At 44.8% G+C, this 14,313-nt stretch overlaps 1 protein-coding gene across 2 annotated transcripts in view; it reads left to right on the top strand.

The window, feature by feature from the left end:
• COLEC12 (collectin subfamily member 12) overlaps positions 1-4,729 on the top strand; it is a 183,965-nt gene extending 179,236 nt beyond the window's left edge. For both annotated transcript variants that reach the window (XM_011525741.3, NM_130386.3), the window contains one exon: positions 1,402-4,729. In XM_011525741.3, the coding sequence (XP_011524043.1) occupies positions 1,402-1,421 (20 nt within the window). In that variant the 3' untranslated portion in view covers positions 1,422-4,729. The remainder of the gene's footprint in view (positions 1-1,401) is intronic.

The following is a 14,313-nucleotide window of genomic DNA, read 5'->3' as shown; positions in this document are numbered from 1 at the left end:
AATAAGTTAATAAATGTGCCTCACATGTAGGAAGTACTCAACGAATGCTAAACTAACTGACCCACATAAGTATCTTATATTGTGAGTTAATTGTTCTTTAAAATATAGCACCAGCCAGGCACGGTGGCTCACGCCTGTAATCCCAGCACTTTGGGAGGTGGAGGCGGGCAGATCACCTGATGTTGGGAGTTTGAGACCAGTCTGGCCAACACGGAGAAACCCCATCTCTACTAAAAATACAAAATTAGCCGGGCATGGTGGCGCATGCCTGTAATCCCAGCTACTCAGGAGGCTGAGGCAGGAGAATAGCTTGAACCCAGGAGGCAGAGGTTGTGGGGAGCCGAGATCGCACCATTGCACTCCAGCCTGGGAAACAACAGCGAAACTCCATCTCAAAAAAGAAAAGAGATATAGCACCAATGTTAGTTCTTTTCCGTAGACATCCATACACAGCTAATCCAGGTGGCCAAGCGTTCAATTCCACGTGTATCTATTGAGCATCTACTATAGGCCAGATCCTGTGATACATAATAGAGGGAGATGGTCTGTGCTGCTTATCAGCTCATAAGCCAAAGCAGCTTTTGGAGATTTTCTTGACTTCAAAGGCTATGTATCTAAAGCTTCATTTAACACACGACCCTCTTTGGAATGTGGCATCTTAGTTTTCTTCACCAGAATGAGATTAAAAGTTTGTGATAGGGGACAGAGGAAATGGGGAATGAATGCTAATGGGTATGGGGTTTCTTTTTGGGGTGATGGAAATGTTCTAAAATTAGATTAGATTGGTTCTAAATTGCATAACTTTGTGACTATACCAAAGACCACTGAATTATATGCTTTAAATGGGTGAATTATACAATTTGTCAATTATATTTCAATAAAGCTGTTCATATAAAAACAAAAACCTCAAATATATTTTGGTCAAACTATTTTTGGAAGTAACTGGGGCATAAATTATCCGTATTGCCATTCAACAGACAGTTACTGAGCACCTTTGATGTGTCAGGCATTGGTCCAAGTGCTAGGGACCTTAAGACACATAGGAACTCACAGCTGGGTCAGTTGAGGGGGAAAAACACAGATATCTAAACAAGGGATTATAATTGATGGTGACAAGTAACTCAGATTTGTCTTTTGTATGCTTTGTTTGGCCATTTGGGATTTGAGTAGGGACCAGGCTTTCCCAGAATAGGCTTTTCAAAATGAAACTTGGCTTTTCAAAATGAAACTTATCTTTTCATCCAAATAAGATCTTCTAGACATTTCTTTGAAAATATAAGCATTGTTGAATGATGTATTTTAGACACTGTCCTATAAAAATACACGTTCCCTTTTTTTGAATTGCACATTAACTTTATTATTTAAGAAAAACTAATGCCCATTCTTATTTCTCTCTTTTAGTACTGTCATCTGCATTATAACGGACTGTGATGGGATCACATGAGCAAATTTTCAGCTCTCAAAGGCAAAGGACACTCCTTTCTAATTGCATCACCTTCTCATCAGATTGAAAAAAAAAAAGCACTGAAAACCAATTACTGAAAAAAAATTGACAGCTAGTGTTTTTTACCATCCGTCATTACCCAAAGACTTGGGAACTAAAATGTTCCCCAGGGTGATATGCTGATTTTCATTGTGCACATGGACTGAATCACATAGATTCTCCTCCGTCAGTAACCGTGCGATTATACAAATTATGTCTTCCAAAGTATGGAACACTCCAATCAGAAAAAGGTTATCATTGGTCGTTGAGTTATGGGAAGAACTTAAGCATATACTGTGTAAACAGTGCCATACATTTCTAAAATCCCAAGTGTAGGAAAAATATGCAGACATACAGATATATAGGCCAACTATTAGTAATAATATGAAATATACTTAAAGAGCTTTTAAAACTTTGTATTTTTGTACAAAATATTTGTCTTTTACAATTTTTTTCCTTTTTTTTTTTTTGTCATTTTACCGACATAATACATGGAGCCAAAGAAAACAATAATGGTACTAATAAAAACTCCTAGGGTTTCCTGTCAGATTTAATTCTACCCAGTGGCAAAGAATTTTTTCAATTGTGGCTTTAAAAAAATAATTAAATATACATGTGTATATATATATATATATATATATTTTTTTTTTTTTTTTTTTTTAATGTTTCATTTCCTCAGAGGAACCAATCACTTGGAATGTCTAGAAATATCCTTGCAGATTTTGCCAGTGTCAATCAAGCCTGCACACATGCACAGTGAAGCGGGCTGTGCCTGCCTTGAGCCCATCACCAGCCAACATTCTTGACGTGTGCCTGACCAGACACAGAAGAAATGGGCAACTCAAGACGTGCTTCCACTTCATTTTGGTGGAGTCGGGAGGTGTGGGGGATGGAGAGGCATCTGTTGGGAAGGGCACTGAATCTGGCCTATCTGGAAGGCCCTGTGTCATGGCTGAGCTATGACTGTACTTGGCATCAGATCCCTACAGAGCCAACATTAACTGTCAGGAACGTATGGCGTCACATCAGCCAAAGGCAGAGATGCTAGAAAGATGGGAACCGGCTACGTGTTACCTGGAAAGTTTGTTTTCTTAAGTCATATTCCAAAAACATAACTCCAAGGCATACGCATGATAAAATGCAAGAATAAACTTTTGGCCACTTTGTGGAACTCTTAAAAGAACCTTTCCAGCCGGGCGCAGTGGCTCATGCCTGTAATCCCAGCACTTTGGGAGGCCGAGGCAGGCAGATGACTTGAGGTCAGGAGTTCGAGACCAGCCTGGCCAACGTGGCAAAACCCCATCTCTACTAAAAATAAGAAAATTAGCCGGGTGTAGTGGCACATGCCTGTAATCCCAGCTACTCAGGAGGCTGAGGCAGGAGAATCGCTTGAGCCCAGGAGGCAGAGATTGCAGTGAGCCAAGATCGCACCACTGCACTCCAGCCTCGGTGACAGAGCAAGACTCCATCTCAAAAAAAAAAAAAAAAAAAAAACCTTTCCTCTGAGCCCATCTTCCTTTCGCTCCTTGACTTTCCTTGACTTGCTGTTGGAAAGTCTAATATGAAAAGGGCTGAAACTAGGCATTAAATATAACTGATGCTCAAAGGTAAGATTTCCATCCAACAGATTCCTTCTCCCTCCCAAGGGTCTTCCCAGGCAGTGCTGCTACTTATCCCAAATAAAATGGTAAAAGAATAAAGACAGCCGGGCGCGGTGGCTCACGCCTGTAATCCCAGCACTTTGGGAGGCCGAGGCGGACGGATCACAAGGTCAGGAGATCGAGACCATCCTGGCTAACACGGTGAAACCCCGTCTCTACTAAAAATACAAAAAAAAAATTAGCCGGGCGCGGTGGCGGGCGCCTGTAGTCCCAGCTACTCGGGAGGCTGAGGCAGGAGAATGGCGTGAACCCAGGAAGCGGAGCTTGCAGTGAGCCGAGATCGCGCCACTGCACTCCAGCCTGGGCGACAGAGCGAGACTCATCTCAAAAAGAAAAAAAAAAAAGAATAAAGACAGAGTTTGACTTTCCCACCTGCGAACAAGTGGACTGTACTGCTTTGCCCACAGTCTCCATTCCCCATTCATGCTGTTTTCACAGCCCAGTAATGGCCAACTGCTCAGCACCTGTGTGCCCTGCTGTCAGGCAGGTGGGACCCACAGTCCTCTGGGCCTAAACTGCTGAAGCCTGCACCACAAGGCGGGCACGGCATTCCAACACCTCTTCAGGCTCAACAGCCTTTAGAGGCTACACTGAGTCCTCTTTTTCATGCTCTTCCTGGTTTTCAAGTGTCAATTAAAATTTGTCTTCAGAAGAAACTTGAAAATAAGTATCTGATGCCGTCATCAGGATAGACTAGTATTAGCTTTCGCAGCTGAAGTTATTGCTCTCCCAGCCCTAATAATAACTTACCAAGTGCTTATTATTTATCAGGCACTGGTCCAAGTCCTTCAATCAGATTGTCTCACCTGATCCTCCCAACAGCCCTAGGAAGCAGGTCTTACTACACTCCCCATTTCACAGGGACTGGGGCTTGGGGAGGTGATGCGGTTTCCTGGGTCACTCCATTACTGAGTAGTGAGACAGGATTCAGACGCAAGCTTTGAAAATGTTCTAATTTTCTTTAGAAGGAAGGGCCCTTCTTAATAGCACACTGAATAAAATCAAATGAATAATCACACATTACAAGATGCCTCCTATACGTCTCTATATTTAGCTACTTACATACCAGGTTTCTTTTTTGTTTGTTTTTGTTTTTAAGACAGAGTCTCGCTCTGTCACCCAGGCTGGAGTGCGGTGGCGCGATCTCGGCTCACTGCAATCTCTGCCTCCCAGGTTCAAGCGACTCTCCCGCCTCAGCCTCTGCAGTAGCTTAGGGACTACAGGTGCGTGCCACCATGCCAGGCTAATTTTTGTGTTTTTAGTAGAGACACGGTTTCGCCATTTTGGCCAGGCTGGTCTCAAACTCCTGACCTCAGGTGATCCACCCGCCTTGGCCTCCCAAAGTGCTGGGATTACAGGTGTGAGCCACCGTGCCCGGCCTACACACCAGCTTTCTATTCACCTACACACAACTGATGCTCTTTTGGAGTGGAGAGTTTTAGTAAAATATGATGGGGTCTTCAGGCACCTGAGTTGCTACTTACTACTATGAGAAGATAGAAAATGTTTTTTCCTCTAAACAGCTTTTGAAAGAATGAATGCACAACAAGGCAAAAAATAAAAACTTTCTTTTCCTTTTCTACGATCAATGTTCAACAACTCGTTCCTTCCAATTTGTAACAGAGTTGAAGCTGAAACAGACAAAAAATAGTAATAGCTGCTCCCATTTAAAGAAAAATGCTTGAGGAAACAGCTGTATAAATCAAGAAACAATACCAAGCAGATGACGAAACTGATCTCTTCTTGAGAACGTAAGCATGTTAGCTCATTCGTGACTCAAAGTCATGTAATAATAGTTGACATATACCACTTTTCACATACATTATCGCTTCCAGTCTTCACGCACATCTATTGTTCCTGCTTGAGAAATGAGGAAACTGAGGCTCAGGTTGAAGACTTGCCCATGGCTCACGTATCTGTCACAGTCACTTTCCAAAAAGCAAATCTGATCAGGTTCCCCACTCAGGTCCCCAAATCTGAATCCATCCTACCTCTCACCCTCGGCTTAAAATCTTCCAAACAATCCTGGTTGGGCTCAGGACATACCTGCAGGGGCCGTAAGGCACTTGGTACCTGGTTCCCAACTCCAAGTCTAGCCTTCTTTCCAGGTGGGACCCATCACCCATGCCCTGGCACTAGCACAGCCAGACTATGCACCTGCACCTTCCACTAGCCTCTTTATCACCTCCATACTCCCCCTGGGTTTTCTTTCCCTGCCTCCTTTACCTGGAAAACACCTCCTTTAAGATTCAGCTCAAGCATCACTTCTTATCTGAATCCTTTCCCAACAAACCACACCTGGAGGTAGAACTGGCTCCTGCACCAAGTGCTCTGGGTAATAAAAGAGAAAACCCCTTCACTGTGTTAGATAATCTACAGGTTAGCTGAAAAGCCTAAAACTTAATGAATTAAGACAGAGGCCAGGCATGGTGGCTTATGCCTGTAATCCTAGCACTTTGGGAGGCCAAGGTGGGAGGATGGCTCAGGCCCAGGAATTCAAGGCCAGCCTGGCCATCATGGTGAAACCCCATCTCTACAAAAAATACAAAAGTTAGCTGGGTGTGGTGGTGCTTGCCTGTAGTCCCAGCTACTGGGGAGGCTGAGGTGGGAGGAACACTTGAGCCTGGGAGGTCAAGGCTGCAGTGAGCTGAGATTGTGCCACTGAGCTCCAGTCTGGGTGACAGAGTCAAGACCTTTTCGAAAAAAATATTAAAAGCCAGGCGTGGTGGCTCACACTGATAATCCCAGTACTTTGGGAAGCCAAGGCGGGTGGATCATGGTGAAACCCTGTCTCTACTGGAAAAAAAAAAAATTAGCTGGGCGTGGTGGCAGGCACCTGTAATCCCAGCCACTTGGGAGGCTGAGGCACAAAAACTGCTTGAACCTGGGAGGCGGAGGTTACAGTGAGCTGAGCTCGCGCCATTGCACTCCAGACTGGGTGACAGAGCAATACTCCATCTCAAAAATAAATAAAATAATAAATAAATAAATAGAGAAGCCAAACAGGAGAAGTGAAGGAATTCATGATGTTGCTAATAGTTGGTGCGTGTGTGTGTGTGTGTGTGTGTGTGTGTGTGTGTGTGTGTGTGAATGGAAGATTGAGTAAAGGAATCACATGGTAAACCAGACTCATTCTCTTCATTCTCTTTACCAAAATATGGCCCTGAGTCAGGGAAACGTTTTGGAACCCGTCCTAAATGGCAGTGTGATGGGGCATCTCATTTCTTAGTCATACTCAACAGTTTTAGAAGTACAAGCAAATTTTTCAGTCTTTCTAAGAATCTGTTTCTTTGTGCAATAACTTCATTTTTCTCAGAAGAATCCCTTAAGGGCATGGCATCATATTTATTTTCTAAGTCACAAGGCAGATGTTGACAATATTTTGTTTCACTCTTTCATCCTTCCTCTCCTACATACCCCTGTTCAAATAAGTATGTAGCATGCACAGGTTATGCCAGGTGAGCAGAAGGCCAGAGGGAAGCAGACCTATGAAAACCAACTTTAATTTCTCAGAGGTTTTGAGTGGTTTTCACATTTTTTCAGTGAATGAGTATATGAATGAATGATCTCCAGCCAGCCCTGCCTTCATAGCCGGGATTGTATCCCAGCCTCCAGCCTCCTCCAAGGACTTACTAGCCTTGAGTTTGCAAAGCAAGGATCACCGTGCAACTTGGGGAGGGGGTCAGCTGCCAGGGCGGGGGCTCCTTCTGACAATTCATCCAGACAGGTGATTAAATGAGCTTAACCAAGGGGTCTCCATTTAGTCCTCTGGGCCAGGGATGGAGAATTGTCCATTGGCTGGTCTTCTAACATTTGGTGCCAGAGGTTTCTATATTCTTTAATCATCACTCATTGCCTCTACCCCACTAAATCATGCCTGGAAGCTTCAGGGAGTTGTAAGATTCTTAAAATCAATTCCTATGCCATGGAGCAAAGGAGCTGGATCAGGCATGACATAAATAAGTACGAAGTGCTGGCTCTGGAATAGCTATTATAACACCTACTGTGGTTAGGAAGTTGACCTATATTATCTCCAGCTCCTATCCAGGGAAACTGAAAATCAGGCTGGTTAAATAGTTTTCCCAAGAGGTGGGATTTGAACCCATTGTCTCCTGGCTTCCTCTCTGTCATGCTGTCTTCTGTGTTTTAACACTGATCTTATTGACTGCCTGGGCTTTGTGCATTGTATTCTGTTCTTCTTGGCCACAGGAAACAGACCAGCCACCAAGAATACCCTCTTTGTGAAAGAACCAGGGAGGTGTAGGAATCCTGATTTGCACACTTTAGATAAATGCACTGACCAATCCCTTCCTTGTCAATGAGCAAAGACTGATTTTGGCCTCCAATGCTATGGTTGTCAGAGAGATCTAATTTGGAGAAAACACCCTAGATTCTAGAGTCACTGAGCCTCTCACAGAGTCCTCTACTTTAATTAGTGTTGAATGAATGGAGCATGGGCTTTGGAGCCAAACAGGCCCAGGTTTCAATCCTGCTCTCTACTTTCTTTTTTTATGTATTTATTTATTTTTTTGAGACAAGAGTTTCACTCTTGTTGCCCAGGCTGGAGTGCAATGGCACGATCTCAGCTCACCGCAACCTCCACCTCCCAGGTTCAAGCGATTCTCCTGCTTCAGCCTCCTGAGTAGCTGGGATTACAGGCATGCGCTACCACGCCCAGCTAATTTTGTATTTTTAGTAGAGATGGGGTTTCTCCATGTTGGTCAGGCTGGACTCAAACTCCCGATATCAGGTGATCCGCCCGCCTCGGCCTCCCAAAGTGCTGGGATTACAGGCATGAGCCACCGTGCCTGGCCTCAGTCCTGCTCTCTACTTTCTAGAAGTGAGACGTATTCAAACAAATGGCAGATAGCTCTTTCCCTCCTCTTTCCTCTTACGCCAGGTCCCTTGCCCACAAAAAGAACAAGTCCTGGCATTGCTTGTCCTGATAGCATTAAGGAAGTTTGCTTTGACAGTTTTCTCACTGAGAATGCTTCCTTTCCAAATATTGGAGAGGGATGACATGGGAAAAAAACTAAAATTATGGTATCTCTGCACCTTTAGGCCAGTAAATGCTGGGAAAAAAATGAAGTCGTACCTCTTTGTGTGTCATCTCTTCTTTGGGTATGAGTGTAGAAGTTCCTATCAATTTGTATTAAATATAGATTTGGCTGCTGAAATAAAGACCCAAAGTGATAGCAGGTGAATAAGATAGATGCATCTCTCCCTGGCCCTAATTTTACGTATGCAACTAGCCCAGGGAGCCGCACTGTGACTATCTCGTTGTCCTGCAGTCTCTCAGCCAGTGCCCTCGTTTGCATTGTCCAAAAGGGCTCAGCACCACATCCACAGTCCAGGCAGTGGGCTTAAGAGAGGGGTGATGAAATGAAATTTCTCCCTTTAAGGGCAGAATTTGCATTCGTCATTTCCACTCACATCTCTTTAACCAGAACGTAGTCACATAGCCTCACCTAGTTGCAAGGGAGGCTGAGAAATACAGTCTTTAGCTGGGAATTACAGTTAGATGCCAAGCTAAAAATTCCATGCCTATGCAAGGAAGGAAGAATGGATATGGGTGGAGAGGAGCATAAATGGCATTTGCACCATTCACAGCTGCCCTCCTGAATCCGCCTCCTATGGGACAGATTTTCCACCTTGCCCTCCTGTGGAGACTTCAGTGGATTTAATTACTGGCTCCATTCTTCACAGCTCCCCATATCTACCCTCTTTGCCATGTAACCTGGCAGCTCCCCCTCTCTATGGGAGGAGTGTACTTTCCTGCCCTTTGACTTGGGCTCAGTCACGCGCCTTGCTTTGGCCAATGTTGGTGGATGTGATACAGCCAAAGCCTTGGAAAGCACCAGGGTCACTGGGCTTGCCCTCTTGCATATCTGCCATCACCGTGCAGAGTTCCCCTGGCCTTCGCCTCTGTTCCTGTGGCCAGGGCCCTAGAGTGAACACACCTGGAACAAAGCTGCCCCAGCCAAACAGACCTGTGATGAGAAGCAGAGCCAGCCCAACCTTCAGAGCCTGCAGCAAAGCAGTCCCACCAAGCCCAGCTGAGATCAGTCAACCCAGACTGTGAGAATAAATGCTTAATGCTGTATATATATATATCCCATGGAGATTTGGGTTGTTCATTACACAGCATCATTGGGGCAACAGCTAACATACGGGTCCTTGGGCCCTAACCTAGCAGCTGTCTATGTGGCTCTTTTCTATTTGTCCCTTCAGATCCCATCTCCACACTTTTCCACCATTCTCTGGGCTTCAGGGAGATAGATATTTACAGGTTCCCTTGGCTTCTGGCAACCAGTTGTGTTTGGACAATGAGAGGCACTGGCAGGAGAAAGTGAAGTTGAGGTGTTTATTTCCCTGGTTTCCTCTCTGAAGGTCACCAGGAATAGATTTTATCTCTCTGCCAAAGGCCATATCTCCCATCAGTTGGTCCAGCACTCTCTCCTGCCAGTGCCACTGCATGCCCAGGCTGGAGTGTGGTGGCATGATCTCGATTCACTGTAACCTCGACCTGTTGCACTCAAGGTATCCTCCCACCTCAACCTCTCAAGTAGCTGGGACTACAGGCGCTCACGACCATGCCTGGTTAATTTTTATATTTTTTTAGAGGCAGGGTTTTACCATTTTGCCCAGGCTGATCTCGAACTCGTGGGCTCAAGCAATCTGCCCATCTTGGCCTCCCAAAGTGCTTGGATTACAAGTGCGAGCCACCACACCAGCCTCGTCCGGCTCTCTGTCCAGCTCCAGGAGTAGCAACCTCCTCTTGCCCCTAGTGATACTCTCAGCTGCCATTAGCCAAAGATCCTGCACTATCCTTTGTTGTTTTCCCTAAGGCCTGCCCACATCTTTGTCAATTGCCCCTTTATTAAACTCTCCTCAATTACCCAGCCTGAGTGTGCCATCTTTTTCTTGTGGAAACCTGATTAACACCCCCACCTCTTGACCGCACCCACTTTCATGGCTTGAGGGCCTCTGCTCATCCTATTCCTGGCCTGCACTTTACCACATAATGCATCCCCTTCTTTTCATGGGTGCAAACATGAGTCCCCTTTCAGGGCACAGCCCATATCCCCCCCTTCCTCCATATTCTCCATCTCCCAGCAAGCCTCTCCTAAGATCCACTGCCTGCACCACACCATCAAGGCTTTGTTTCATACAAAAGTACAGCAGTCTCTGAATTGCTCAGGGGGCCCTGGGAAGACTGTGAAGGTGCCACAGTGAATGGGAGGAGAGTATTTGCAGAGCAGGTGGAATTCTGGATCACTAGTCAGAAGGACTACATATGTATGTCATATGTGTGATTTCACTTCAGGTTCACTGTTTCTAAAGAGTTTGAAAATGTTGATGCAGTACACTAGTCTTCAACTTTGTATGGATATAAATCTAATCTACCCAAAATGAATAAAACAAATTTAAATATCTCTCAAATCAAGGAATTTTTGTTCTCCCTTTATTATAAGGCATAGAATAGGGGCCAATGAAGGATAGAAGGATGGATGGATGGAGGGAAGGATGGATGGATGCATGGATGAATGAATGCATAGATGGATGGATGGATGGATCCATGGATGAATGGATGGATGGATGCAGGGATGCATGAATGAATGAATGGGGGGACTTGGTCCTCACCATAAGCAGTTTCTCCATAGCTTCTTCCCCCTCCTCATGGTCTGTAGGAATATGTCATTTTGATTCCCCACAAATCATACTGGAAGCATCTCTCCTGGCACCTTGACCAAACTCTGAAAGGCCAAGTAAAAGGGACTGAAGGTCAGAAGGATGTGGGACAGGTTGGCTGGATTCAGCCCCACTAGGCAGCTCCAGATCCCGCTTACTGAGATATGAGAGGAAAGTGGCACAAGAGAAATGGCACAGAAGTCTGATGCTTTGGGAAATCCTACTCAAACATAGAAAGCAAGAGTCCTCAATGGACCTGCAAACATGTTTTGTTAAATCTATAATTTCTGCCCTCCTCAAAAAAAAAAAGATTTCCTACCTTCAACCTTTCACTATGATGTTCATAGATAGTAAAATGAATGAAATATCCATTTTTCTCTTGCTTAGTCAGCATATATAATTACCACATTTTAAGTGCTGTAGCATTAACACCACCTGGTTTTTTGTTTGTTTGTTTGTCTGTTGGCTTGTTCATTTGTTTAGAGATGAATCTCACTATGTTGCTCAGGCCAGCCTCAAACTCCAGGGCTCAAGCAATCCTCCCACCTCACCTCCCAAGTAGCTGGGACTACAGGCACAAGCCACTGCACTTGTCTTTTATCTGGTTTTTGTTTTTTGTTTTTTTTTTTGTTTTTTTGATGGTGCTAGCTAATAACTTTTTTAAAAGTCAACTTTTAGGTTCAAGGGGTACATGTGCAGGTCTGTTACATAGGTAAATTACATGTCACAGGAGTTTAGTGTTGCAATAATTTTGTCACTCAGGTATTGAGTATAGTACTCGATAGTTTTTCAACCCTCACCCCACTCCTCTCCTCCCACCTCAGGTAGGCCCCGGTGTCTACGGTTCCCATCTTTGCGTCCAGGTGTACTCAGTGTTTAGCTCCTTCTTATAAGTGAGAACATGCAGTATTTGGTTTTCTGTTCCTGCATTAATTTGCTTAGGATAATGGCCTCCAGCAGCATTGCTGCAAAGGACATGATTTTGGGCCTTTTGATGGCTGTGTAGTATTCTCAGGTGTATATGTACCACATTTTCTTTATCCAGTCCACTGTTGATGGGCATCTAGGTTGATTCTGTCTTTGCTATGTCTTTGCTAATACCTCATTTCTAAATAATTATTTTTTGTGCTTTTATTTGCAGAATACGATGTGAAAAGAAGCTGTTGTTTCTCCAAATATATGGTTTGGGGTTCATTTTATAAAGTACTCTGGATTTCAGGTCCTATAAGATGCCACTTAATTGAAGCTTTGCAAAGAAATAATTATTTTACACCAGAACTTCACCTGTTTCAACCCTGTACCTACAACCTCCCTGGGCGAAGGTTACTGAGAGTCCTAATGACCAGCACCTTCATGGAGACCTTGGTGTTTCTTCAAAAAAGAAAAAAAAAGCCTAGAAAAAGAAAGGTAGATGACAGATAGAGACAGACAGAGAGAGACTGGGGACCAACTAGGAGCACAACTGTTACTTTTCAACCCAGAGTCCATTTGAACAAGTCCTTCTTTCAGTGCAGAAAGCACTGCCCTGCCCCCGAAATCCACTCAGGTTCTCCCCTGAACCCCAAGCCTGAGGTTTAGATTTTGACGGATTAGGAAGAGCTGACTCCGCAGCACACACTTTTTTTAGGGTATGAAAAAATCACCTGCTCAAGATCCTCTTTGCTCACTTTTCAACTCTGTGGTCATAATGTTTGAAAATTAATGTATAGAGCCCTGGAAATTATTTTTTCCTGTTTTCATTTTCCTTCCCAGCCAGCAAGGTCCCATGCATTGCATTTTCCAGAGTCTGCGTAAGAAGTGGCTCCTTGGTCAGCTGGCCCTGGTGTCTGGCATTGCGGTTTTCCTCCGCCTGTGGAGACAGTTTTCCTCCCTCTGAAATTCAGCTCACTGATGGGCACCTGCCACAACAGGCACTTAATTTAATTACCTCATTAAAGACCCTATCTCCAAATACAGTCATATTCTGAGGCATTAGGGGTTAGGACTTCAACATAGGAATGCTGGGGGACACAATCCAGCCCATAACACCCTCCATGCCTCCTTCACTCGCAGTAAATGTCTATTTCTCCTGTTTTATTAAAAAGGTTGAGGCCAATGAAATGTGCTCTTCAAACTCCTTCCCGCCCACTTTAATATCTATCTGTATTAGTCTGTTCTCACAAGGCTAATAAAGACATACCCGAGACTGGGTAATTTATAAAGGAAAGAGGTTTAATGGACTCACAGTTCCACATGGCTGGGGAGACCTCACAATCATGGTGGAATGCAAAGGAGAAACAAAGTCATGTCTTACATAGCAGCAGGCAACAGAGCATGTGCAGGGGAACTGCCCTTTATAAAACCATCAGATCTCGTGAGATGTATGCACTGTCACGAGAACAGCATGGGAAAGACTCACCCCATGATTCAATTATTACCTCCCACTAGGTTCCTCCCACAACATGTGGGAATCATGGGGGCTACAACTCAAGGTGAGATTTGGGTGGAGACACAGCCAAACTATATCGATATCTGTGCCTTTACCTATTTATCCCTTCTTCATTGGTGAAGAAGCTTCTCTCACCTGGGCCACAGAACTCCCCTCCAGCTGTGTCCCCCATTCCCTCCATGCCTGTTCCCAGAACCAGAACTAACTCACTGCACCTGCACCGCTGGAAGGTGCCGCCCCTTTCCTCCCTCAGAGAACAGGCCATTCCAGGGAGCCCTCTCTTGCATTCTCAGCCTCTTCTCTGCTGCTTGTTCCTTCCCTTCCCCTCAGTTCCTCTCATTCCAAAAAAGAATTGTTTTAGTAAAAAGAAAACTGTAAAAAAGAATTTTCTTTTTCTCTTTTAAATTGCCACCTTTTCTGCCCCCTTCCTGTCACTGGCACACTTCTTAAAAGAATGGTCCACACCTGCAAGCACCCGTCCCCTTCTGCCTTCACACTCCTTTACGCCTTGCAGATCTGGCTCCCACGGCCCTCCTAAAAAGGGGCTCTCTACGGTCACTGGTGACCACCTGAGGTTTTGTGGGGATTCAATTAGAAAATGCAGGTAACACATTTGGAGTCCAGTATCAGGCCCATGGAGGTGATCCCCGTTGTCACTTCGGCGCTGTGATCCTGGCCTGCAGTGCTTTCTCCTGTAACACTGACTGTAATTTTGTGCCTTCAGGGGACAGGGCCACCTCCACTACAGAAAGAGCCCAAATGTTCAGGACAGAGCTCCTCAGAGCCCAAGGTATGTGCCAAAAGGCTCTTCCTGGATGAATTATCTGATTGACGGGACCGGGGCTAGCCCAAAGAAACAGAAGCAAATGGCCACAGACACAGCTCTGCCTTCATCCTTCAAATCCACTCTCTCCACACACACCTACACACACATCTCTTTTTTTCTCACTCGGTTGCCCCTTCTTTGTGGTATTCTGAAGCATTAAGAGGTCCATTGTCACTTCCATTGACTTGTTACTCCTTTCCTCTACACGCAAAGTCAGCTCTGT

This window comes from Homo sapiens, chromosome 18, assembly GCF_000001405.40.
Source record: "Homo sapiens chromosome 18, GRCh38.p14 Primary Assembly".
Taxonomy (NCBI): domain Eukaryota; kingdom Metazoa; phylum Chordata; class Mammalia; order Primates; family Hominidae; genus Homo; species Homo sapiens.
This window is presented reverse-complemented; position numbering and strand designations above follow the sequence as displayed.